General features: G+C 46.6%; 1 protein-coding gene and 1 long non-coding RNA gene across 3 annotated transcripts in view, besides 2 other annotated features; both read right to left on the reverse strand.

Moving 5' to 3' along the window:
- ZNF670-ZNF695 (ZNF670-ZNF695 readthrough (NMD candidate)) overlaps positions 1-7,402 on the reverse strand; it is a 133,266-nt gene extending 125,864 nt beyond the window's left edge. The window contains exon 1 of the long non-coding RNA NR_037894.2: positions 7,185-7,402. This is a non-coding gene — a long non-coding RNA (ZNF670-ZNF695 readthrough (NMD candidate)). The remainder of the gene's footprint in view (positions 1-7,184) is intronic.
- ZNF670 (zinc finger protein 670) overlaps positions 1-7,402 on the reverse strand; it is a 44,175-nt gene extending 36,773 nt beyond the window's left edge. For both annotated transcript variants that reach the window (NM_001204220.2, NM_033213.5), the window contains exon 1: positions 7,185-7,402. In NM_001204220.2, coding sequence (NP_001191149.1) covers positions 7,185-7,187 — 3 coding nt within the window. In that variant the 5' untranslated portion in view covers positions 7,188-7,402. The remainder of the gene's footprint in view (positions 1-7,184) is intronic.
- Positions 7,265-7,578: a silencer, noted in NCBI's record as "fragment chr1:247241976-247242289 (GRCh37/hg19 assembly coordinates)". NCBI's record gives its function as "represses an EF-1alpha promoter that drives an FKBP-Casp9 reporter gene in an ReSE screen in HepG2 liver carcinoma cells {active_cell/tissue: HepG2}" and the evidence as "EXISTENCE:reporter gene assay evidence [ECO:0000049][PMID:32094911]".
- Positions 7,367-7,436: a silencer, noted in NCBI's record as "silent region_2042". NCBI's record gives its function as "represses an Ori minimal core promoter by ATAC-STARR-seq in GM12878 lymphoblastoid cells {active_cell/tissue: GM12878}" and the evidence as "EXISTENCE:reporter gene assay evidence [ECO:0000049][PMID:35858748]".

The following is a 23,913-nucleotide window of genomic DNA, read 5'->3' on the forward strand; positions in this document are numbered from 1 at the left end:
GAGCTAAACGATGAGTACACACAGACACAAAGAGTTAAATAAACACTGGTCATACTTGAAGATGAATGGTGAAAATAGGGTGAGGGTCTAAAAACTACCTATTGGTTACTATGTTCACCACCTGGGTGATAAAATCATTTGCACACCCAGTCCCACCAGTGATATTTGACCCATGTAACAATCCTGCACATGCAGCCTCTAAACCTAAAATAAAAGTTGAATAAGAAAAAAAGAAACTGGTGAATGATGAAGGTCTGAATATGAAGGTAATAAATTACATGCCTTAAAGTAATATGAAACCTTTTATACCGTACATTATTTATACTGTTATTTTTTAAATTTGAGTTATCTATTTTGAATTTTCATTAAAACGTAAGAACTCATTTATAAATTGGGTAAAATACCTATTGCTAAATATTTGTATTTCCTTTCACAGTTTTATTCTTTCTTTCTTTTTTTTTTTTTTTAGATGGAGTCTCACTCTGTTGCCCAGGCTGGAGTGCAGTGGTGCAATCTCGGCTCACTGCAAGCTCCGCCTCCCAGGTTCATGCCATTCTCCTGCCTCAGCCTCCCAAGTAGCTGGGACTACAGGTGCCCGCCACCACGCCTGGCTAATTTTTTGTATTTTTAGTAGAGACGGGGTTTCACCGTGTTAGCCAGGATGATCTTGATCTCCTGACCTCGTGATCTGCCCGCCTTGGCTTCCCAAAGTGCTGGGATTACAGGTGTCAGCCACTGCGCCCAGCCACTTTTTTTTTTTAAACAGCGTCTCACTATGTTGCCCAGGCTAAAGTGCAATGGTGCAATTACAGCTCACTGCAGCCTGGAACTCTGAGGCTCAAGTGATCCTCCCACCTGAGCCTCCCAAGCAGCCGAGACCACAGCTCCGCACTGCCATGCCTGGTTTTGTTTTTTTTTTTTTTAAAGTTCAGGCAGGGTCTCATCATGTTGCCCAGGCTGGTCTCAAACTTCTGAACTCAAGTGATCCGCCCACATCAGCCTCCCAATGTGCTGAGATTACAGTGGTGAGCCACTGTGCCTAGCCTTATTATTTCAAACAAAAATTAATATATACTTAAAAAAAGAAACCACAGGCCAGGCTCAGTGGCTCACGCCTGTAATGCCAGCACTTTGGGAGGCCAAGGCGGGAGGATCACCTGAGGTCAGGAATTCGAGACCAGCCTGGCCAACATGGCAAAACCTCGTCTCTACTAAAAATACAAAAAAATTAGCTGGGCATGGCGGTGCATGCCTGTAATCCCAGCTAGTTGGGAGGCTGAGGCAGGAGAATTGCTTGAACCTGGGAGTCGGAGGTTGTGGTGAGCCGAGACTGTGCCATTACACTCCAGCCTGGGCGACAAGAACGAAACTCTGTCTCAAAAAAAAAAGTGTGTGTATATATATATATATATATATATATATATATATATGCATACACACACATACACACACACACACAAACATCTTTTCGGCACAGTATTAATGGTGTACTAATAGTAACATTAAGCTACTAAAAACTCAAGAGGTAAAACTATGCAGCCATAAAAAAAGAGCAAAATTCTGCTTCATGATAGTTAATCTACAAAGAATAAGAAAAAATAATCAAAACTGCAGTCACATCTCTGAGCAGAAGTTAGAAAAGATCAGAACACCAGAACTGCACAAGGTCTGTTTATTCACCTGGACGGTGAGCCCATGACTTTAAAGTCTTATCATTTAAACTTAGCATAAAACAATTTATTCCAAGAATTATCTACGATTTTTTCAGGTCATATCACCCAATTCACTCATTTTTCAACCAAGAAAATCAAAATCTCACATTCAAATCATGGAATAAAATTCTTAAATACTTACCCAAACTGGAATGATAACCCAGCAAGATTTTATAAAGATGAACCCTGTGCTCAGTAGGTTAAATAGGTTCCCAAGCTTGGGGGCCACTCTCAAGGTGGAGATACAGCCCAAGGTGGTTCATTCCTAGGGAATGAGTGAAGGCAAGCTTGGGGGCCACTCTCAAGGTGGAGATACAGCCCAAGGTGGTTCATTCCTAGGGAATGAGTGAAGGAAGCCTGAGCAATTGGAAATTTAATTCTGGGAGCTCCACACACCCTATTTATCCCCTGCTCACAGTGAGGAAATGCTTTCTTCTCCAGGGTCTCAATTCTCACCAGTGACCACTCTCCCAGAGTCAGGTGAAGGCTCTGATCTGTGAGTCCTTTTTCTGATACCAAATGTGTGGACTTTGCTGAACACCAACCAATTCTCCAACACCTACTAATTGTCCAACAATTAAATTCCAACACCACTCAGAGTCAACACATACCCCATAAGCTCACAGATCAGTTCCACAACACTGCCCACATTGCACATGCCAGTTGCAAGCCTGAGGGGCCCATCTATCCTTCTGACCAATTGCTCATAAGTCAGAGGTTCCCATCACCCCTTCCTCAGGTTTGATAACGTGAAAAACAACTATGCCCAGAACTCAGCAAAAACAATTTACTGATGTTTACCAGTGTATTATACAAGATGTGACTCAGGAACAACTCAATGGAAGAGTTGTAGAGGACACGGGAACATAGCAGGGGAAGATGGGGTGAGTAGGTAATCCTGTTAAATATATGCAAGTTAAAAAACAAACAACAAAAACATTCTTTGTGTTCTCCAGGAACAGCTTGGTGAAAACAAACACCTTCTCATTATGACTTAGATGATGCTTCCTTTACGTACAATAAAGCCAGAAACAGACAGCGTAATTTTTTTTTCGCCTCTTAACTAATTAGCTGACCAAATTTGTCTTCAGTGGTCAGAACAAAATACTTGCTAACCAAATTTTACTTAAGTTTCCCTCCTTCCCTCAGGCCCCTGAACTCTGATATACCCTCAGCCTGAGCCAACATACAACCCCTCTTTATGCCTCTCCTGTGAACAGGCTGACCTCAGGGTGAAATGTTCTCTGATCTAGAATCCATCCGGCCCTCTTCCTCTCCTCTTTTTTCTAATCTAGTTTGCTCCTTCCTATGAAAGAAAGCCCTTTTCTGCCTAACCTTTAACATGCTTGCCACTGTTATACCCAGTGTTTTTCCTCATTGCAATACTTCAGAATAAACTCCCTTCTTACATAATTCTGAATTTACTTTATTGCAGCAGTTCCCCACCTTTTTGGCATCAGGGATCAGTTTCATAGAACACAGATTTTCCATGGATGGTGGGGATAGTTTTGGGACCACACTGTTCTACCTCAGATCATCAGGCATTAGATTCTCATAAGGAGCACACAACCTAGATCCCTCCCATGCACAGTTCACAGTAGGGTTCGTGCTCCTCTGAGATTCTAAAGCCACCACTGATCTGACAGGAGAAGGAGCTCAGGTGGTAATGTTCACTCACCTGCTGCTCACCTCCTGCTGCATGGCCTGGATCCTAACAGGCCACCGACAGGTACTGCTCCATGGCCCAGGGGTTGGGGACCCCTGCTTTATTGAATAATGTCTAGAAAGAATGCCAGGACAATGAAAATTACACCCTTAAAAAGGGGATCTCATCCTTTCAATCCAGGCCCAACCACATCCACCTGTGAACACCAGATTTCCAGAACTCTGTAGCTTCTCTCAATATAAAGAGCTCCTTTCATGGCTGAGGTGAGCAGGCTGGGACATCTGTAAAGGGAGGCTCCCAAGGAAGAACTGAGTGAGGCACTTACGTTTAATACCTCAACTGGAAAAGCCAAAGTATCTATCCCTATCATATAATAAATATGTCATTTATTTATTATTTCCATGATAACAAATCATCTCCAGGAGTTGCCAAGTCCTATCCCATAAAACTTAGCATTAAACTCCAATGTCCAGATAACAGGATAAAAAACAGGGTTATCCACTGTTATAAATTCTCCACCCTGCAAAAAGGAGGCACTGATGTTTTGATAAATATTTATAATTCACCAATTTATCTACAACACTTGCTTGTGGAAATGTATTCATTTTTCTGCAGCCATAATGGAAAAGAGATTTTTCATATTTTTCCCTGGTAACATTTTGATATAGTTTGGCTGTGTCCCTACTCAAATCTCATCTTGAATTGTAACTCCCACAATTCCCACATGTGGCAGGAACGTGGTGGGAGGTAATTGAATCATGGGGGCAGGTCTTTCCCCTGCTGTTCTGGTGATAGCGAATACGTTTCATGAGATCTGATGGTTTTAAAAACTGGAGTTTCCCTGCACAAGCTCTCTCTCTCTCTGCCTGCAGCCATCCGCGTAAGACGTGACTTGCTCCTTGTTGCCTTCCGCATGATTGTCAGGCTTCCCCAGCCATGTGGAAATATAAGTCCTTTAAATCTCTTTCTCTTATAAATTGTCCAGCCTCAGGTATGTCTTTATCAGCAGCATGAAAACAAACTAATACACATTCCCAAAGCAAAGTCCTAGAATTCCATTTGAAATCTCCTTCAAAAAAGAACAGACTTGAGAAACTTACTACACTCACTCTTGGGAAGAAAAAGGTTAACAAGAATTTTTAACAAATGGAATATGAATAGATTTTTGCCCCCTTGAAATCCACCTCCTTCTTGTCTCTTTGGAAATATTTTTTTTTAATCTTTCAAGCTCTCTGAATAAAACATATTTTAAAGTTAATGAAAAACTGAAACTGAACTAAGTGAATAAATCTTTTCAAGGCAATAAACTCAGGGAGGGGTCATGCTGGCAGAACACAGACATCTCTGGGTCAAGAGTCAGGTCAGGTCACTGCATCACTTTGGAGATCCTCACAGGCCCATTCTCCTCACAGAAATACTCAATGACCACCCTCCCAGGAGACACTGTACTGTGCCCCACTGTGTGCTTGAATTTTTTTTTTTTTTTTGGGACGGAGTCTTGCTCTGTCACCCAGGCTGGAGTGCAGTGGCGTGATCTCAGCTCACTGCAAGCTCTGCCTCCTAGGTTCACGCCATTCTCCTGCCTCAGCCTCCTGAGTAGCTGGGACTACAGGCGCCCGCCACCATGCCCGGCTAATTTTTTGTATTTTTAGTAGAGATGGGGTTTCATCACATTAGCCAGGATGATCTCGATCTCCTGACCTCGTGATCCGCCCGCCTCGGCCTCCCAAAGTGTTGGGATTACAGGCGTGAGCCACCGCACCTGGCCTGTGTGCCTGAATTTCTAAGCCCTTTTCTGCCTAAACTTTAACATGCTTGCAGCTCTTATACCTGGTGTTTTTCCCCATTGCAATACTTTAGAATAAACTCTCTTTTTTTTTTTTTTCTTTTTCAAACTGAGTCTCCCTCTGTCACCCAGGCTGGAGTGCAGTGGCACCATCTCAGCTCACTGCAACCTCCACCTCCTGGCCTCAAGCGATTCTCCTGCCTCAGCCTCCTGAGTAGCTGGGATTACAGGCATGCACCACCAGACTGGGCTAATTTTTGTATTTTTAGTAGAGACAGTGTTTTGCCATACTGGCAAGGCTGGTCTCAAACTCCTGACCTCAAGTGATCTGCCTCCCTTGGCCTCCCAAAATGCTGGGATTACAGGCGTGGGCCACCACGCCCAGCCAACTCTCTTCTTACATAATTCTGATGATGGTGCTTTTCTGGTTCTTGCACCACCTCACTGGGGTGGGTATTCCTTGTCCTTTGAGATAGTTTTTCTCCTTTCCCAAGTCCGAGAAAATCCAGAGCGCAGGAATCATTTCTAGATTTTTCCCTTAATACCAGCATCTGACTGGCTGCCACCAACGTGTCTCCAAGGAATGATGAAAACTGGGGTTGGAGGAAGAAAATCCCAATGCACCAGGGATTTGTTTTTTAAACGAAGAGTATACTAGGAGACGTCTCTCAACTCCAGGGCACCCAGATGCTGCCTGGAGAGGCTCTACTTCCATATTTTAAACTGTCCTCTGTGAGGAGATGACCCAGGAGAAGGTATTCATTAGACACTCCAAGAGATCTGGCTGCTAAACAGAGGACCAAGAAAAGATATAAGGGTGGCTGAGGACATATCACCCTCTAAAGTTTCCAAAAGGGAACTTCACCCCAAAGATACTCTGGTAAGATGTGCACACTCAAAAAAGATAAAATTAGGAGATGCACAAAGACTTTTTTTTTCTACAATTAACTGTCAGGTGATTATTTTCTGCTTTCCACTCATGTGTAATGTTCAGAAATATTTTAAGAGTGAAAACAAATATTTTCAGAACGACTCACTACTCTGAAAAAAATAACACACTTCATCTGTATGAAATGTACAATAAAAGACAAATACTTGATAATGTTGCATTTGAATATAGGAAAAGAATTGGAAATTTAGGGTTTTACTACAAGCCCCAGAAGAGTTAGGCTGTGGGAACAGGGTCGTTGATGTGAGATCCTGTTGCCATACACTTAGAAATGTGGAGTGTTATGTGAAAATAATTAAACACAGGCACTAGGGAGACTGAGGTGGGGGGATCGCTTGAGCCCGAGTCCAAGACTCCATCATACACATGTACATACACACATGAATGAATAAACAACCAACCAAAACGTAACTCATGCTTGTCTTGTAAATTAATAACTTAAAGGGAAACAAAACAGCCTTAAACAACCACGAACCCACCAATTAACCTCTGGTTACATAACCAGGAGATATCTGGCTGCACAGTCTATATGGGGTGACTACATAACTGTACACGATCAATTATTTAATTGGGTTTGCTTCCTCGGGTTCCTTACAAAAAACCCTTTCCTTCCCCAAACCACAAACCACGCTGGTGGCTTCCTAACTCACGACTCTCTGCTCAAATAAACTCCTTAATATTTTAACGGCGCCTCAGTTTTCTTTCTAACAGGAGAAAGGAGGATTTGGAGACTTCACAGACCACAGCTCCTCCCACGCAGGAACCCCGAACCCCAAGTCGGGACTCTCCCCTGAGGACCCTCCCGTCGGCACCGCACGATCCGAGGGAGATGCGGGTCTACAGAGGCAGAGCTGCCCAGAAAGGGTTCCGGGCCTGGCCGAAGCGGCGGGGCAGGGACAAGCCAGGCGGCCCGGGGTCTGGCTGCGGGTCCAGCCCCGCATCCTGTGCCACTAAGGCCGCGAGGCGCCGGCGGAAACTCGGGTCGGCACCGCGGGGAGGTCCGGGTTCGCCACAACCGCTTCCTGGCGGTTCCCTTTTCCCCTTCCCGAGACACCTGGCCGGCACACTCACCATTTCCCAGTCTCCGGTGTCTGGGGTCCTCCCTAAGGACCTTCCGGGACCTGCAGGTCCCAGAGCAACAGAAGCTGCCGCGGGACCACTTGGACCTCCCAGGGATAAGGGGAAGGAGCAGCGGAGACGCACCGAGCTCGCCACATTCGCGCTGCCCAACACAAAAGCCGCGCCAGGTCCCGGAAGCTGCTCCCTCCTTTCGCGGCGCGCTTGAGAGTACAGTCCCCTTCCCAGCGCCCGATTGGACAGGGCCTTAGGCCCCGCCCCTTCAGTCCTGAGTGACGGGAGATGCAATCAGACACGGCGCTGAGTGAGGCCAGGTTCTTTCCCTGCAGTCCTTTTCTAAGGCATGGATTCTGCCCTGTGCTGAGACCTGGCGCCCCCCGGGGGACTTTCCCATTCAAGCTCATACACAGGATTATGTCCATTTATGAGTAATATTTGTGATATTTACAATTGGAAACACTATGATGACAATTATTCTAAAATTTCAGATTTCACAACCTTCCTGGCCTCTGGTCTTTTGAGGAGGCAGCCTGAATTTTTTTTTTTTTCTTGCTTCTAGTGGGATTAGAGGCAGCTTGAATTTTGAAAAGACAATGTCCTCTCAGGTAGCAACGCCCCATAGAAATAAAATGTGAGCCGCGTGTGTTCCAGTAGCAATAGAAAAGAAAACAACACGTGAAATTGATTACAATGATTTATTTAACCAAATATATCCAAAAATATTGTTTCAATATATGATCGATGTTAAGCTCGCGCCTAATTGAAGAGACTACCCAAACAGGTTAAGTGTGAGCAGCAAGGCTAGTTTACTCACTCGGGTGCGAGCGGGCTGAGTCCGAAAAGAGGGTCAGCGGAGGGTCGTGGGATTGGAGTTAGTTTTATAGGTGAGGGGTAAGCAGTGGAAAGTTACAGTCAGGGGCCGTTTATTACCGGCGGGGGAAGAATGTCACAAAGTACATTGTCACAAGAGGGAGGGGTCACAGTGTCACTAGGCTGATTGATCAGTTAGGGTAGTGCACGTCACAACGGTAAAATGCTGCAAGGTTGGCTAATCAGCTAAGACAGAAACTAGCCGTTTTTCTTCCTTTGTGGTTTTCCTGTTGTCCCAGACTTTCTGGCTCCAGGACCTTCTGGATGTACACGTGTGGGTCACAGGGATCACAATGGCTTGACCATGGCGCAGCCTGCTCAGACGGCCTTACAATCGATATATTATTAATGAAAAATCACTCTATATATTAAGCTTCCAGCATGTTTCAATTCAGCCTGCACATTTGGATACACGTGTCTGGTTTTACCACTTTATTTTAAGGTTGTTCGGGAATGTCTGCCTGTTCCTTTCATGTAACTGTTCATTATTTATTGATTACTATTTCTTAATTTCACTTATCTCAGTGAGAGTTGCCAAATAGTGGTTTTCTAATTATTTTCTCTACAGGTATTAGTTCTCATTCTTCTATTAAAAATGGCGTTTTCTCATGAACTCTCTCCATTACATTAAAACCTACCCTATTAGGAAAGGAAGAATAAAAGCTTGATTCTCCCTTTAATCAATTGTCATAACAATGACGGCGTGGCCTCAGCAAACAAAAAAAATGTGAGTGACTTTTTTCTAACCTTATTTTTTGTGTATTTAATGAGATTCCATACACTGCAGTCTGTATCTATTTTTTGAGCTCAAATTATCCCTTTTTTTTTTTTTTTTTTTTGAGACCGAGTCTCACTCTGTTGCCCAGGCTGGAGTGCAGTGTGGCATGATCTCGGCTCACTGCAACCTCTGCCCCCCGGATTCAAGCGATTCTCGTGCCTCAGCCTCCTGAGTAGCTGGGATTACTGGCACCCACCACAACGCCTGATTAATTTTTGTATTTTTACTAGAGACAGGCTTTCACCATATTGGCCAGGCTGGTCTGGAACTCCTGACCTCAGGTGATCCACCCACCTCGGCCTCCGAAAGTGCTGGGATTACAGGCGTGAGCCACCGCGCCCGGCCAAATTGTCCCATCGTAAGTGAGGGGCTCTATACATTGCCTCCTTTGTCCTTGTACCATATGTTTTGAGAGCTTTCTTATTTTCTGGAGCAGACAGAAACTGTGTGCTTCCCTTTTTCTGTTATATACGTTGCAAAAAGATGACCATTTGGCATTTTCCTTTTTACTTGGCTTATGGCGTTTCCTAACACTCACAATATTCTGGTTTTATATTGTATCTTTATCAATGTTTTAATTTAATATTTCTTGGTTTTAGTCATAAGCCCGATTTATCCTCACAGCTTGTAGAAATATTTATCAACGTTTTCTTCTATTTTTATGTTTTCTTGTCTTTTTTTTTTTTTTGAGACGGAGTCTCGCTCTGTCGCCCAGGCTGGAGTGCAGTGGTGCAATCTCGGCTCACTGCAAGCTCCGCCTCCTGGGTTCCCGCCATTCTCCTGCCTCAGCCTCCCCAGTAGCTGGGACTACAGCCGCCCGCCACCACGCCCGGCTAATTTTTTGTATTTTTAGTAGAGACGGGGTTTCACCGTGTTAGCCAGGATGGTCTCGATCTCCTGACCTCGTGATCCGCCCGCCTCGGCCTCCCAAAGTGCTGGGATTACAGGCGTGAGCCACCGCGCCCGGCCTCACCCTTTTTTGTTAAAGGCATGTTAGGTAGGTAAGTATTCACTTCTTGCTTACGTGACAATTTTTGCCAGGTCCATTAATATTTATTTCATTATTTTTGGCTCTACTCAAGCTGTGGAAATTTTGCTCTCATCTTCGTAAATTATCTCTTTTTTTCTCTGATTTTTAGTGTTTTCCTTCTCTTTGGTGTTATGCACCTTGACTATTATTTAAGTAATTTTTTTTGACACATTGCATTTCTGAATTCAAGGATTTATGTCTGATGTTCAATTTTAAAAACTTATAAATCACCGACTCTTTGAGTACTTACTTGAATTATTTTAATATAGTCTAGAAAAACAATTAGATTTGTTTTATTCTCTCTCATTTCACTTCTATGTTTAATTATATTTGTATTTTATATTTTTTCTCCTTCTACTATTTTTATTTTGCTCAATATACCAGTTAAGTAATGTTCTCATCAGCTCAGAATAACTTAACATTTAACCCATATGTTGTATATTAAGCATATTAATTACATTTTCAATTATTTACTTCATATTTAGCTCTTTTCCAAATATGGCTTGTCAAGCGGAGAGTTTCTTGTTCTTTGCACACTATTATATTTTTTCTGTTTCCCTCATTGTATTGAAAAACATTTTAAATGTAAGTTCTATAACTGTAACATAAGTTGTAATTCGGATCTCCCTTACGGGCGCAATCACTTTTGAAATGTCTGCCGTCAGCTTATGTGTTTTTCCATTTGCTTTATGGCAATGGGAAATCTACATGGATGTGGTATATGTGTGATCACCAATATATAAAAGAAACGCTTCCTTTTTTTTTCTTGCATTTTTTAATTATACTTTAAGTTCTGGGGTACATGTGCAGAACATGCAGTTTTGTTACATAGGTATACACGTGCCATGGTGGTTTGCTGCACCCATCAACCCATCATCTACATTAGGTATTTATTTCTCCTGATGCTATCCCTCCCCTAGCCCCCATCCCCCAACAGGCTCTGGTGTGTAATGTTCCCCTCCCTGCATCCATGTGTTCTCACTGTTCAACTCCCACCTATGAGTGAGAACATGTGGTTCTTGGTTTTCTGTTCTTGTGTTAGTTTGCTGAGAATGATGGTTTCCAGCTTCATCCATGTCCCTGCAAAGGACACGAACTCATCTTTTTTATGGTTGCATAGTATTCCTTCGTGCATATGTACCACATTTTCTTTATCCACTCTATCATTGATGGGCATTTGGGTTGGTTCCAAGTCTAACATTACAACAGAATACTACTCAGAGATACAAAGGAACAAAAACAACTGAAGAGCATGCCCTAGATGAGCCTCATGAATGTGCTGAGTGAGACAGCTGGACATAATATCTTTTGTATGATTACAGGCAAAGTAAACCTATAGTAAGAAAAAAGAAAAATTAAAAAATCAGGACAGAGACAGTTCTGTGAAGAATATCAGTGTTAGTTTAATGGGAATAGCATTGCATCCAAAAATTGCTTTGGGCAGTGTGGCCATTTTAATGATATTGATTCTTCTTATCCATGAGCATGGAATGTTTTTCCATTTGTTTGTGTCATCTCTGGTTTCTTTAGCAGGGGTTTGTAGTTCTCCTTGTGCAGATCTTTCACCTCCCTAGTAAGCTGTATTCCTAGGTGTTTTATTCTTTTTGTGGCAATTGTGAATGGGAGTTCATTTATGATTTTGCTCTGTTTGACTGTTGTTGATGTATAGAAATGCTAGACATTTTTGCCATTGATTTTGTATCCTGAGACTTTGCTGAAGTTGCTTATCAGCTTAAGAAGCTTTTGGGCTGAGACCATGGGGTTTTCTAGATACTGGATCATGTTATCTGCAAACAGGGATCATATGACTTCTTCTCTTCCTATTTGAATGCCCTTTATTTCTCTCACTTGCCTGATTGCCCTGACCAGAACTTCCAATATCTATGTTAAATAGGAGTGGTGAGAGAGAGCGTCCTTGTCTTGTGCCAATTTTAAAGGGGAATGCTTCCAACTTTTGTTCATTCAGTATGATGTTTTCTGTGGGTTTGTCATATATGGCTCTTATTATTTTGAGGTATGTTCCTTCAATACCTAATTTATTGAGAGTTCTTAGCATGAAGCGATGTTGAGTTTTATCAAAAGCCTTTTCTGCATCTATTGAGATGATGATGTGGTTTTTTTCTGTAGTTCTGTTTATGCAATGAATCACATTAATTGACTTGTATATGTTGAAACAAACTTGCATGCTAGCGATGAAGCCTATTTGATCGTGGTGAATAAGATTTTTGATGTGCTGCTATATTCAGTTTGCCAGTATTTTGTTGAAGATTTTTGCATGGATGTTCATCAAGGATATTGGCTTCAAATTTTCTTTTTTTTGTTGTGTCTCTGCCAGGACTTGGTATTAAAATTTATATGGAACCAAAAAAAGAGCCCAAATAGCCAAGACAATCCTAAGCAAAAAGAGCAAAGCTAGAGGCCTCGTGGAACCTGACTTCAAACTATACGACAGGGCTACAGTAACCAAAACAGCATGGTACTAGTACAAGAACAGACACATAGACAAATGGAACAAATAGAAGGCCCAGAAATAAGATCACATGCCTACAACTATCTGATCTTCCACAAACCTGACAAAAATCAGCAATGGGCTGGGTGCGATGGCTCACGCCTGTAATCCCACACTTTGGGAGGCCGAGGTGGGCAGATAGCTTGAGGTAAGGAGCTCAAGACCAGCCTGGCCAACATGGTGAAACCCCCATCTCTACCAAAAATACAAAAATTAGCCAGGCATGGTGGCAGGCACATGTAATCCCAGCTACTTGGGAGGCTGAGGCAGGGGAATTGCTTGAACCTGGGAGGCAGAGGTTGTGGTGAGCCAAGATTGTGCCACTGCACTCCAGCCTGGGCAACAGAGCAAGACTTTCATCTCAAAACAAACAGACAAACAAACACCTGGAATAGCTGTCTAGCCATATGCAGAAAATTGAAACCGGACCCCTTCCTTACACCATATACAAAAATTAACTCAAGGTAGATTAAAGACTTAAATGTAAAAACCAAAACTATAAAAATCCTGGAAGACAACCTAGGCAATACCATTCAGGACATAGGCACGGGCTAAGATTTCACGATAAAGATGCCAAAAGCAATTGCAACAGAAGCAAATATCGACAAATGGTATCTAATTAAACTAAAGAGCTTCTGCACAGTGAAAGAAACTATTAACAGACAACCTACAGAATGGGAGAAAATTTTTGCAAACTATGCATCTGACAAAGATCTAAGGAATAAAGAATTTTAGCAAATGTAAATAAGGAATTTAAGCAAATTTACAAGAAAAAAACAAACAACCCTATTAAAAAGTTGGCAAAGGACATGAACAGACACTTTAAAAATTTTTAAGTTCCAGGATACATGTGCAGGATGTGTAGGTTTGTCACATGGGTAAATGTGTGCCATGGTGATTTGCTGCACCTGTCAACTCATCACCTAGGTATTAAGCCCAGCATGCATTAGCTCTTTTCCCTAATGCTCTCCTTCCCTGAATCCCACCTCCTGACAGCCCCCAGTGTGTGCTGTTCCCCTCCCTATATCCATGTGTTTTCATCATTCAGCCCCAATTTATAAGTGAGATCATGCAGCATTTGGTTTTCTGTTCCTGCGTTAGTTTGCTGAGGATAATGGCTTCCAGCTTTATCCACGTCCCTGCAAAGGACATGATCTCGTTCCTTTTTATGGCTGCGTAGTATTCCATCGTGTATATGTACCATATTTTTCTTTATTCAGTCTATCATTGATGGGCAACCACCTGACCCGTCCCGCCCTGTTGTACTCACACCTGCGATTGCCCCTCTCACCCACATTCAATACCAAAGCCCTGGCCTTGTCACAGCTCCTGGAATCCAAAGAGCCCTGTGCCTCACTCTCCTCATCTGCAGCATGAGTGTCTCCCTCCCACCTCCAGCCTGGCACACAGACCCCAGGGCCAGGGACCCAGAGCCATTTTGATGGCCCAGCCCCTCTTTCATCCCGAGGTGACCCAACCCTGGATTTGACCCCAAGGAGGTCATGCCCCAGGCCTCAGTCCCTCACCTGCCTGTTGAGCGCAGGGCTTGTGTGGGAAGCAGGCCTCACCCCCGGCCAGCCTATGTGCCTGGAATCTGGTCTCACCTGTGTCTTAGACTCATCCTCCCATCTTCCTCACCTCCTGAGGAGGGAGCACCTGTAATGCAGGAGAGGGTGTGAGTGGGCGGGGGCCCTGAGGCAGCCCACGCCCCGGTGCCTGCTGCTTCTCAGCTGGGGGAAGGGACTTTCACCCCAAGGGCTCAGGCTCTGACTCGCCCCAGGAGGACCCTAGGCGCCCCTCACAAGCGGGAATGGAGCCCCTCAGGCAGCACCTCCTGGGGGTCCTCTCCTCTCTACCAATGACAAGCAAGACCTTCAGGGTAGGGTTGTGGCAGCCACACCTCCAGAGACCCCTTGGCTGCTCCTGGACCACACAGCTGCTCAGGGAAATTTAACCTCTGGCCCCCTCCACACAGGAGGGCCACACAGGGGCCACACAGGTGACCCCTGCAGGCACTCACCTGTCACTCGCACACAGAAGGGCACAGTACACATAACCTGGGTGAGCCGCTGCCAGCGGCTGTTGGCCTCAGCGTTCTCTTGCAAGGCATTCAGCACCAGCAGCCACTGGGGCCCCATCAGAATGCAGTTCAGGACACCAGCCCTGCCCCAACCTTGACCCAGACAGTGGGTGGCATGGGACCACCTCTGGGTGAGTGGCAGCTCAGCTCTAAGGTATCCCTGCTGCCAAAGACCAACTGTTCCTGCTAGTTTGAATCTGGCCACAGGGTCTCTGTTGGTGAGACAGATGACCATGAGGCAGACACCCTGAAATCTAGCATGACAGAGCTCAACGCCCCCATGAGAGTCACCATAGCACCCAGACTTTGCAGACATAGCAGCGAAGGCCACAGCAGGCCCTGAGTGAGGAACAATCTGACCAAGATCCTGGGGTCCTGCCACACAGCCCTTTAACCAGGCACTGGAAACTGTTTCCCTAAAGAGCCAGGAGTCAGTATTTTCAGCTTTGCCAACTGATCCTTGCCTCGAGGATGCAACTCTGCCATGGCTGCTCGACAGCAGCCCTCTGAGACAGCCTGTGAAGAGGTGGGCATGACGGCAGCCCCATAACACTCTACTTAGGGACATGGAAACTTCTCAGTGCCATAAAGTATTATTTTTTTATTTGTTCAACCATTTGGAAATGTGAAATCCATTCTTGATTCATGGACCACAAGATCAGGCAGGGACAGGCTGCCCCTTGCCGACCTCTGGAACGAGCTTAGAGAAGGAAATGACATGCTGGGTGCGGTGGCTCACGCCTGTAATCCCAGCACTTTGGGAGGCCGAGGCGGGTGGATCACGAGGTCAGCAGTTTGAGACCAGCCTGACCAACATGGTGAAACCCCATCTCTACTAAAAATACAAAAAAAATTAGCTGGGCATGGTGGCGGCTGCCTGTAATCCCAGCTACTCCGGAGGCTGAGGCAGGAGAATCTCTTGAAACTGGAAAGCAGAGGTTGCAACGAGCTGAGATTGCACCACTACACTCTAGCCTGGGCAACGAGAGCAAAACTCCATCTCAAAAAAAAAAAAAAAAAAGAAGGAAACGACAGGCTGGGCCAGCGCAGCCTCCTCACAGCAGATTCACTGCAGGACGGGTCCTTCTAAGCAACCACTTCTCATCCTTCATCTTGGCTTCAAGCGCAGTTCAGGTGGAGAAAGAGAGAACAGAACTGGCCTCAGCAACAAGAAGGAAGGAGATGCAGGGTCAAGCAGCAGTGTGGATCCATCACACTCAACATTCACACCAAGCAGAGCACAGGCAGGACCAGCCCAGCGGGGGCTGAAGTGGAGGCTCTCTGGGGTGGGGGATCTCTGGGTGGACAAGATTCTCTACCTAAAACTCATATAGAAGTTCCACACAGCAGTAGTTACAGAAAACACACACTAAGAAAAAGGCCAAAATAAAAATAGGACACCAAGTTTGGCCAACTGGGTCTCACAAGCCAGTAGGTAAGAAAGCCCCAGGAGGGCCCACCAGAGTAGCTGGGGGTGGGTTCCTGCCTGCAGGGGGCCTGGGACACCCCATTCTCACAGATGAGGACCCCAGCTTTGGGGAGGAAGCTGTCAGAGTCGCCAAGTGAGCTGATCAGAGCTGGAGCCACAGAGCAGGTGAGGAGCCCTGGCCACATCCCCATGAGGGCTGAGAAGCTGGAGTGGAGGCACAGCCCCAGGGGCAGATGCAAACAGTGGACCCTGGGCCCTCCCCCTGCCCAGAGGATGCTCAGCTCCCAAGGGACCACCAAGGCCTGGAACCCAGGGACACACCACCTGACCATCATGCCCAGGCCTCCCAGACAAGGCAATGGCCAGGACAGGCAGGCAGGCTGGACTTGGGGCCAGGACAGGGGTGGATGGTCCTGCTAGGCAAGCCTCCTCCTCCCTACCAGCTGGGCTGGTTGCACTGTAGTTTTGGTTCTGGCAACATATTGCTGCCCACTTTGGCCACACCAGTCCCTGGCTCCCTGGCCAGGCCCAGTGCTGCCCAACCCCCCTACACGGGCCCCACATACCCACTGCCCACCAGGCTCCTGTCAGCCAGGAGGGGAGGACCCAGGCTCATCCCCTGAAGTATCCGTGGGAGCCTGCATCCCACAGGAACCCACAGCTCAGGGCCAACCTCCATGATGGCCTCTTGGTTGTGGTGGCAGGAGCGGGGGGGAGTTGACCTCCACCCCTCCCATCCTGGCCACTGTGTTTTGTGGGGATCATTCAGTCCTGGGAGCGTCCTGGGGACTCCAGAAGGAAGAGAACAGGGTGGTCATGGCAGCTTCAGCCCAAGGCTCTGGGCCCAAGTGCAACAGTCCTTTGGTTCTGGTTTGATCTGGGCAATAACAACGGGTCATGTCATTCACACAAGGATTGGCTTCAATATAATGCATCAAGGGACTGTGGAGGGCACAGATCAGCCTCCAGGCCAGTTACACTTGGCGGCTTAGCCGATGCAGGCTGGGGAATGGAGAAGCTGACCCCTGACCTCCCCACCTACCCTGCCCACCAGATGCCATAGCAGCCAGGGATCCCTGACGTCAGGCAGAGGCAGGGAGCACAGTTGCTGTCTCCTTTGATCCCATCCCAGGGCCCGCAGGGCCTGGAGAAACCTGGCAGGGGCTGAGTTGGGAGAATCAGGCAGGGGGATGCCAACTGAAGAATGTGAGGGATGGGGTATGAGGGCACTAAGGGCACAGGGTCTGCCTCCCCTGGGGAGGAGGCAGTGGGACACAGACTAGCCGAGCCTCCACAGGCCCCACCCTGCTGCCAGGCACATGTGGTGCCCATACCCACCCCAACGGCTGCAGGAAGTTTCTTCGTCAACAAAAGGGGAGGACACATCCACATCCACATAGGCATTGGTGCCCACACACATCAGAGAAGAAAATTCCTGCTGTGCCCAAGGTGTGGGGAAAGGGGCAATGTCCCCTTCCTCCCCATGGTGGGTCCCAAATTACCTGCTTCTGCCAGCACCCCCAACCCCAACTCCACAAGCTGCTGACCTCCACCACAGTGCATGCCACGTGCCAAGAACAGCTCAGCGGTGCATCCCAAAGGATGCTATCTTGGAGCGGCTGCGCTGGGCGAGGGACACGCTTCCTAGTCACAGAGATTTTGTTTCTTTACCACTCACTGGCCCTGTGCCTCAGTTTCCCCCACTGTGGCACAGTGTAAAAATCCCATCTTGAAGGCTAGGAACCCAGAAAGGTCACCACACCCGGTGAAATGGGGGGTGAAACTCCCTGCCTTGGACCTCTTGCTCCAGGACTGATGTCCATCAGGACATGGCCAGGCCAGCATCCTGGGGAGGGCTGCGTTCCCTGCCTGGGGAACCTTGCTCCCAGTGAGGGATCACTAGAGTTGAGGCCCCTAATGGACTGGGGGAGGCACAGGGTGGAACGGAGGTAGCTCCATCATAAGGGCCTGTGTAGACCCCAGAAAACAAGCATCAAGTTGAGACTCTTGTCTGAAGCTGGCCGCCTGAAAGTATTTGGGCTTTGGGGGTGTGATGAGGGCCTGGGGTCAGGGAACAAAGTGTTCTGGTTTGGACACGCAGGAGGTTCTCTGCGGCTCTCTCAGGTACATAGTATGGTGCTAAGTATATGCTTTTAAAAAGCCTAAGAGGAGGGGGCACCCAGAAGGGGCCCGGAAGTCAAGGGCAAGGTCCAGCCTTTCCACCTCCCCAGCTGAAGACGTGCTGGAGGACAATTCTCCAAAGTTTCATAACAAAGAAGAGAAAAAAGAAATCAAAAAGACCTGGAGGATGGGCAAGGTAATGAGAGCTTACTGGGATTACCCTGCCTAATCCTCAAAGCAAGCCTTCCCTATCTGTCCTCTGGGCCAGGTGAGGAAACAGGTCACAGTAGGACATTCAGACCCTGGGGAGGCAGCTGGCAGCCTGGAGCCCAGGAGGTCCAAACAGACTGCCCCAGCCCCAGCCCTCAGCCAGGAGCGGCTCCACCCCCAGCTCGTTCACTGGTAAATCAGGCCGACTGGGCTGCCTGCCCTTCCCCAATCCCCCTGGCTCAACAGGCAACAGCCTCCCTGCTCGTGGCTGCCAGACTGCAGATGGCAGGCAGTGCACGCCCCCTTTATTTTGGCTTCTCAGCTGCCCACCAGGCCATCCCTCTCCGCCAGGCCACCTGGAGCCTGGCAGTGCGCATGTGGGGTGGACAGCACCTGGAATCCTTGGGCCTGCTTGGCTGGGGGCTGCGGCTTCTGTGCAGGGTGGAGTTAGTGTCCCATCCCATTCCCTGACCCCATGGCCCCTCCGAGAAGGCCCTCCACGTACTGCCAGGCCTTGACCACCAGTCGCCCACATCCAGGAGGCATCGACGTGCTCACCTCTGATTGGCAGTGGGCATGCAACCTGGGGCAGACCCCTTCGAATCCCAGGTACGAGCGAGCTAGGTGAGGGCAAGGTAGCATCAGAGTGTCACCGCTGTATGTCAGCCACTGGGGGACAGGGGACAGGCTTCAGCTTACAGCCATCTTCCAAATTCCAGCCTCTCACTTTGGCAGAAGCTGGCCAGGAATTGGGGCCGATGGATGGGTGGGGTCTGCAGACACCGTGTTCAGGTCCCCATGATGGCCTCACACATGGGTGGTGGCTTGGGCCACACCCGAGCCCCTGCTTGGGCCCTGATCTTTGAGAAGGGGGAGCAGCAGAACCCGGGCACTGACGCTACAGTGCCACTCACACCCACAGATTTCTCCACACAGGCATCAGTCTCGGTCCTGGCCACCTCCTCCTGGACGGCTTCAGCCATTCCCCGGGACTCACGTGGTCCTTCCTCACACGCGGCTCTGGTAGGATGCATTGCTCTGTACCCAGGGACCTCTGAGGTGACAATGGCCACGGTCATGCAGAGTGCAAGGGCACAGGCTGGGTGCCTATTGTGGGGACCGTGACTGCAGCACTCCCAGACTATCCTCGGGCATGTTGCCCCCAGGCTTAGCTAGGGCACCAGCGGTAGGTGCACACTGCTCCGGACTCTGCAGGAGGAGGACAACTGTTACCTGTGTCTTTATGTTCTCCTGCTGCTGTCACTCTGTGCTTCTCATCTCCTTGTGGTAGGATTCAGGGCAGACTCTCTGAACACCTTGTGGGAAATAGCAGAGTCCAGCAGGGAAGAGAGAAGCCCAGCTGCAAAGGTGAAAAAATGGCAGGTGTGACAAGGACCCCCATTCAGATTTAAATGAGGTCCTCATTTAATCTCTGTTCTGATTGGATAACACTTCAAGTGTGTATGTGTGTGTATATTTTTTGTTTGTTTGTTTTTGTTTGAGATGGAGTTTCGCTCTTGGCATGCCCAGGCTGGAGTGCAATGGTGCAATCTCGGCTCACTGCAACCTCCGCCTCCCGGGTTCAAGAGCGTCTCCTGCCTCACCGTCCCGAGTAGCTGGGATTATAGGCATGCGCCACCACACCTGGCTAATTTTGTATTTTTAGTAGAGACTTTGGGGTTTCTCCATGTTGGTCAGGCTGGTCTCGAACTCCTGACCTCAGGTGATCTGCCCGCCTCGGCCTCCCAAAGTGCTGGGATTACAGGCATGAGCCACCGCGCCCGGCATATATACATACATATATATATATATATATATATATATATATATAGAGAGAGAGAGAGAGAGAGAGAGAGAGAGAGAGAGAGAGAGAGAGAGAGAGAGAGAGAGAGAGTCTCGCTCTGTAGCCCAGGCTGGAGTGCAGTGGTGTGATCTCGGCTCACTGCAACCTCTGCCTCCTGGGTCCTGGTTCAAGCAATTCTCCTGCCTCAGCCTCCCGAGTAGCTGGGATTACAGGCACACGCCACCATGCCCAGCTAATATTTGTATTTTTTTTTTTAGACAGAGACTCACAGAGTGCTGTCACCCAGGCTGGGGTGCAATGGTGTGGTCTGGGCTCACTGCAACCTCTGCCTCCTGGGTTCAAGCAATTCCCCTGCCTCAGCCTCCCGAGTAGCTGGGACTATAGGCTCCTGCCACCACACCTGGCTAATTTTTGTATTTTTAGTAGAGACGGGGGTTTCACTATGTTGGCCAGGCTGGTCTTGAACTCCTGAACTTGTGATCCGCCCTCCTCGGCCTCCCAAAGTGTTGGAATTACAGGCATGAGCCACTGTGTCCGGCCACTATGCCCCACCTCTACTCAAGGTGATAAGCAAGCCTGGGTGCCTCCTCTTTTGGTGCCAGCAGAAAAAGCAAACTACTACACAAGGCTCTTCTTCAGTACATGCATATACAAACTCTCACCCTGGCCCCAAACCATAACAAAAACCTAAGCTATTCTCCTTTTCTTACGCTCTCAGGCCACTTTTCGCCTGTTTGAGAGTCCTGCCCTGCTCTCCCCAAAGACCTCAATTATGGACTTGTGGCTGGGGGCCACCTGCCTCTGCAGATGACCATAACAGCTGTAGAAAGGTAAAATGGTGTAAACATTGCAATATATGTTATTTTCAATTGACAAATCCTGCAAATCTTTTCATATCAATAAATGCTGCCCCTCATTTTTAAGTGTGTATGATGAGGCCATTTATCCAATATTTTCTAAATAGGTACTTGAATTATTTCTAATCTTTTGCTATTACAACTGTGAATTAAAACTCACACTGTCAATTCAGAGAACAATTGTTCCTTTCCACTTTTATGGTGCTTTAAATATATTAAAAATGAAAAAATATACACATACACACAACACAAAGCACACACGCACACATACACATGTAAAAGATAGGGTTTCGCTCTATCACCCAGGCTGAAGTGCAGTGGCATGATCATATCTCACTGCAGCCTTAAATTCTTAGGCTCAAGCAATCCTCCTGCCTCAGCCTCCTCATGAGTAGCTAGGAGTGTAAGTGCGTACCACTACGTCTGGCTAATTTTTAAAATTTTTTGTAGAGACAGTGTCTCTATTTTGCCCGGGCTAGGCTGTAACACTTGGCTCCAAGCACCAAGCAATCCTTCTGCCTAGGACTCCCAAAGTGGTGGGATTATAAGCATGAACCATGTGTCCAGTCTGAAAATAAAAATATATAATATCAAAACTTCTGGAATGCAGTGAAAGTATTGCTTAGAAATTTACAACGTTGAATGCATACATTACAAACAAATAAAATTATACACCCAATGATGTAATTTTCTACTTTAGGTCACTAAAGAAAAAAGAACAAATTCAGTCGAAAGAAATAAAAACAACAAGATGACAAGTCAATGGCACTGAAAATAGAAAATCAACAGAAGAACTCAATAGAACAATAGCTGTTTCTTCATAAAGATCAACAAAATTGATAACTATCAAGCAAGGCTAATAAAAAGAAAAAAAGAAATCACACAAATTACTATAAGGTGAGTACAAAAGTAATTGCAGTTTTTGCATTCTTGGAATTTGCTGTTTGATACCGGCATACCCTCTTAAGTAAATGTGGTTATGTTATACATCATTTTAATGGGCATTTCTTGCTTTTTTTTTTTTGTAATGACTTATTACTTATTTTAGACTATGGAAAAGATGTTAGACAAAAAGCAAATTCAAGCGACTTTCTTATTCAAGTTCAAAATGGGTCGTAAAGCAGCGGAGACAACTCACATCAACAACGCATTTTGCCAGGAACTGCTAATGAATGTACAGTGCAATGGTGGTTCAAGAAGTTTTGCAGAGGCCGGGTGCGGTGGCTCACGCCTGTAATCCCAGCACTTTGGGAGGCTGAGGCGGGCGGATCACAAGGTCAGGAGTTCGAGACCAGCATGGCCAATATGGTGAAACCCCGTCTCTACTAAAAATACACAATTAGCCAGGTGTGGTGGTATATGCCTGTAGTCCCAGCTGCTCGGGAGGCTGAGGCAGGAGAATCGCTTGAACCTGGGAGGCGGAGGTTGCAGTGAGCCGAGATCACGCAACTGCAGTCCAGACTGGGTGACAGAGCGAGACTCCGTCTCAAAAAAAAAAAAAAAAAAAAAGTTTTGCAAAGGAGGCGAGAGGCTTGAAGATGAGGAACATAGTGGGCAGTCACCGGAAGTTGACAACGACCAATTGAGAGCAACCATTGAAGCCGATCCTCTTACAGCTACACGAGAAGTTGGTGAAGAACTGAACGTCGGCCATTCTATGGTCATCTGGCATTTGAAGCCAATTGGAAAGGTGAAAAAGCTTGATAAGTGGGTGCCTCATGAGCTGACCAAAAATTTAAAAAATCATCCTTTTGAAGTGTCGTCTTCTCTTATTCTATGAAACGACAATGAACCATTTCTTGATCAGATTGTGACATGCCACGAAAAGTGGATTTTATACAACAGCCAGCTCAGTGGCTGGACTGAGAAGCTCCAAACCACTTCCCAAAGTCAAACTTGCACCAAAAAAAGTCATGGTCAGTGTTTGGTGGTCAGCTGATGGTCTTCTGATCCACTGCAGCTTTCTGAATCCTGGTGAAATCATTACATCTGAGAAGTACGCCCAGCTATTGATGAGACGCACCAAAAACTGCAGCACCTGTAGCCAGCATTGGTCAACAGGAAGGGCCAATTCTCCACAACACCTGACCACGTGTCATACAACCAAGGCTTCAAAAGTTGAATAAACTGGGCTACAAAGTTTTGCCTCATCTGCCATATTCATCTGATCTCTCGCCAACCAACTACCACTTCTTTAAGCATCTTGACAACTTTTTGCAGGGAAAATATTTCCACAACCAGCATGATGCAGAAAATGCTTTCCAAAGAGTTCATCGAATCCTGAAGCATGGAATAAACAAGCTTATTTCTCATTGGCAAAAGTGTGTTGGTTGTAATGGTTCTTCTTTGTTTTAAGACAGAGTCTCACTCTGTCACCCAGGCCAGAGTGCAATGGTGCGATCTCGGCTCACTGCAACCTCTGCCTCCTCGGTTCAAGTGATTCTCCTGCCTCAGCCTCTTGAGTAGCTGGGATTACAGGCACACGCCACCACACCCGGCTAATTTTTGTATTTTTAGTAGAGACGGGGTTTCACCATGTTGGTCAGGCTGGTCTCAAACTCCTGACCTCGTGATCCGCCCACCTCAGCCTCCCAAAGTGCTGGGATTACAGGCATGAGCCACTGCGCCCAGCCCATTGTAATGGTTTCTATTTTGATTAATAAAGATGTGTTGCAGCCTAGTTATAAAAATTTAAAATTCATGGTCCAAAACCACAATTATTTTTGCACGAACCTAATAATATAAGAATTAAAAGAGACCTTTATATTAGAGATCCCATGGATGATAAAAGAATAAAGAATATTACAATCTCCATAACCCACAAACTTGGTAACTTAGACCAACTGGATGAATAAAAGACACAATCTATTAATACTAAAACACAGGAAAAATAGGTAATCTAAATATATTTATATCTATTAATAAAATGGAATCAATACCTAATAACCTTCTGAAGAACTTATATATTCCAAAAATCTGACATTCTGTCATATTTTTCTAACTGGTGGGATTCAGGGGTTTCCATTTTGACGAGA

Source organism: Homo sapiens, chromosome 1 (genome assembly GCF_000001405.40).
Source record: "Homo sapiens chromosome 1, GRCh38.p14 Primary Assembly".
NCBI lineage: Eukaryota > Metazoa > Chordata > Mammalia > Primates > Hominidae > Homo > Homo sapiens.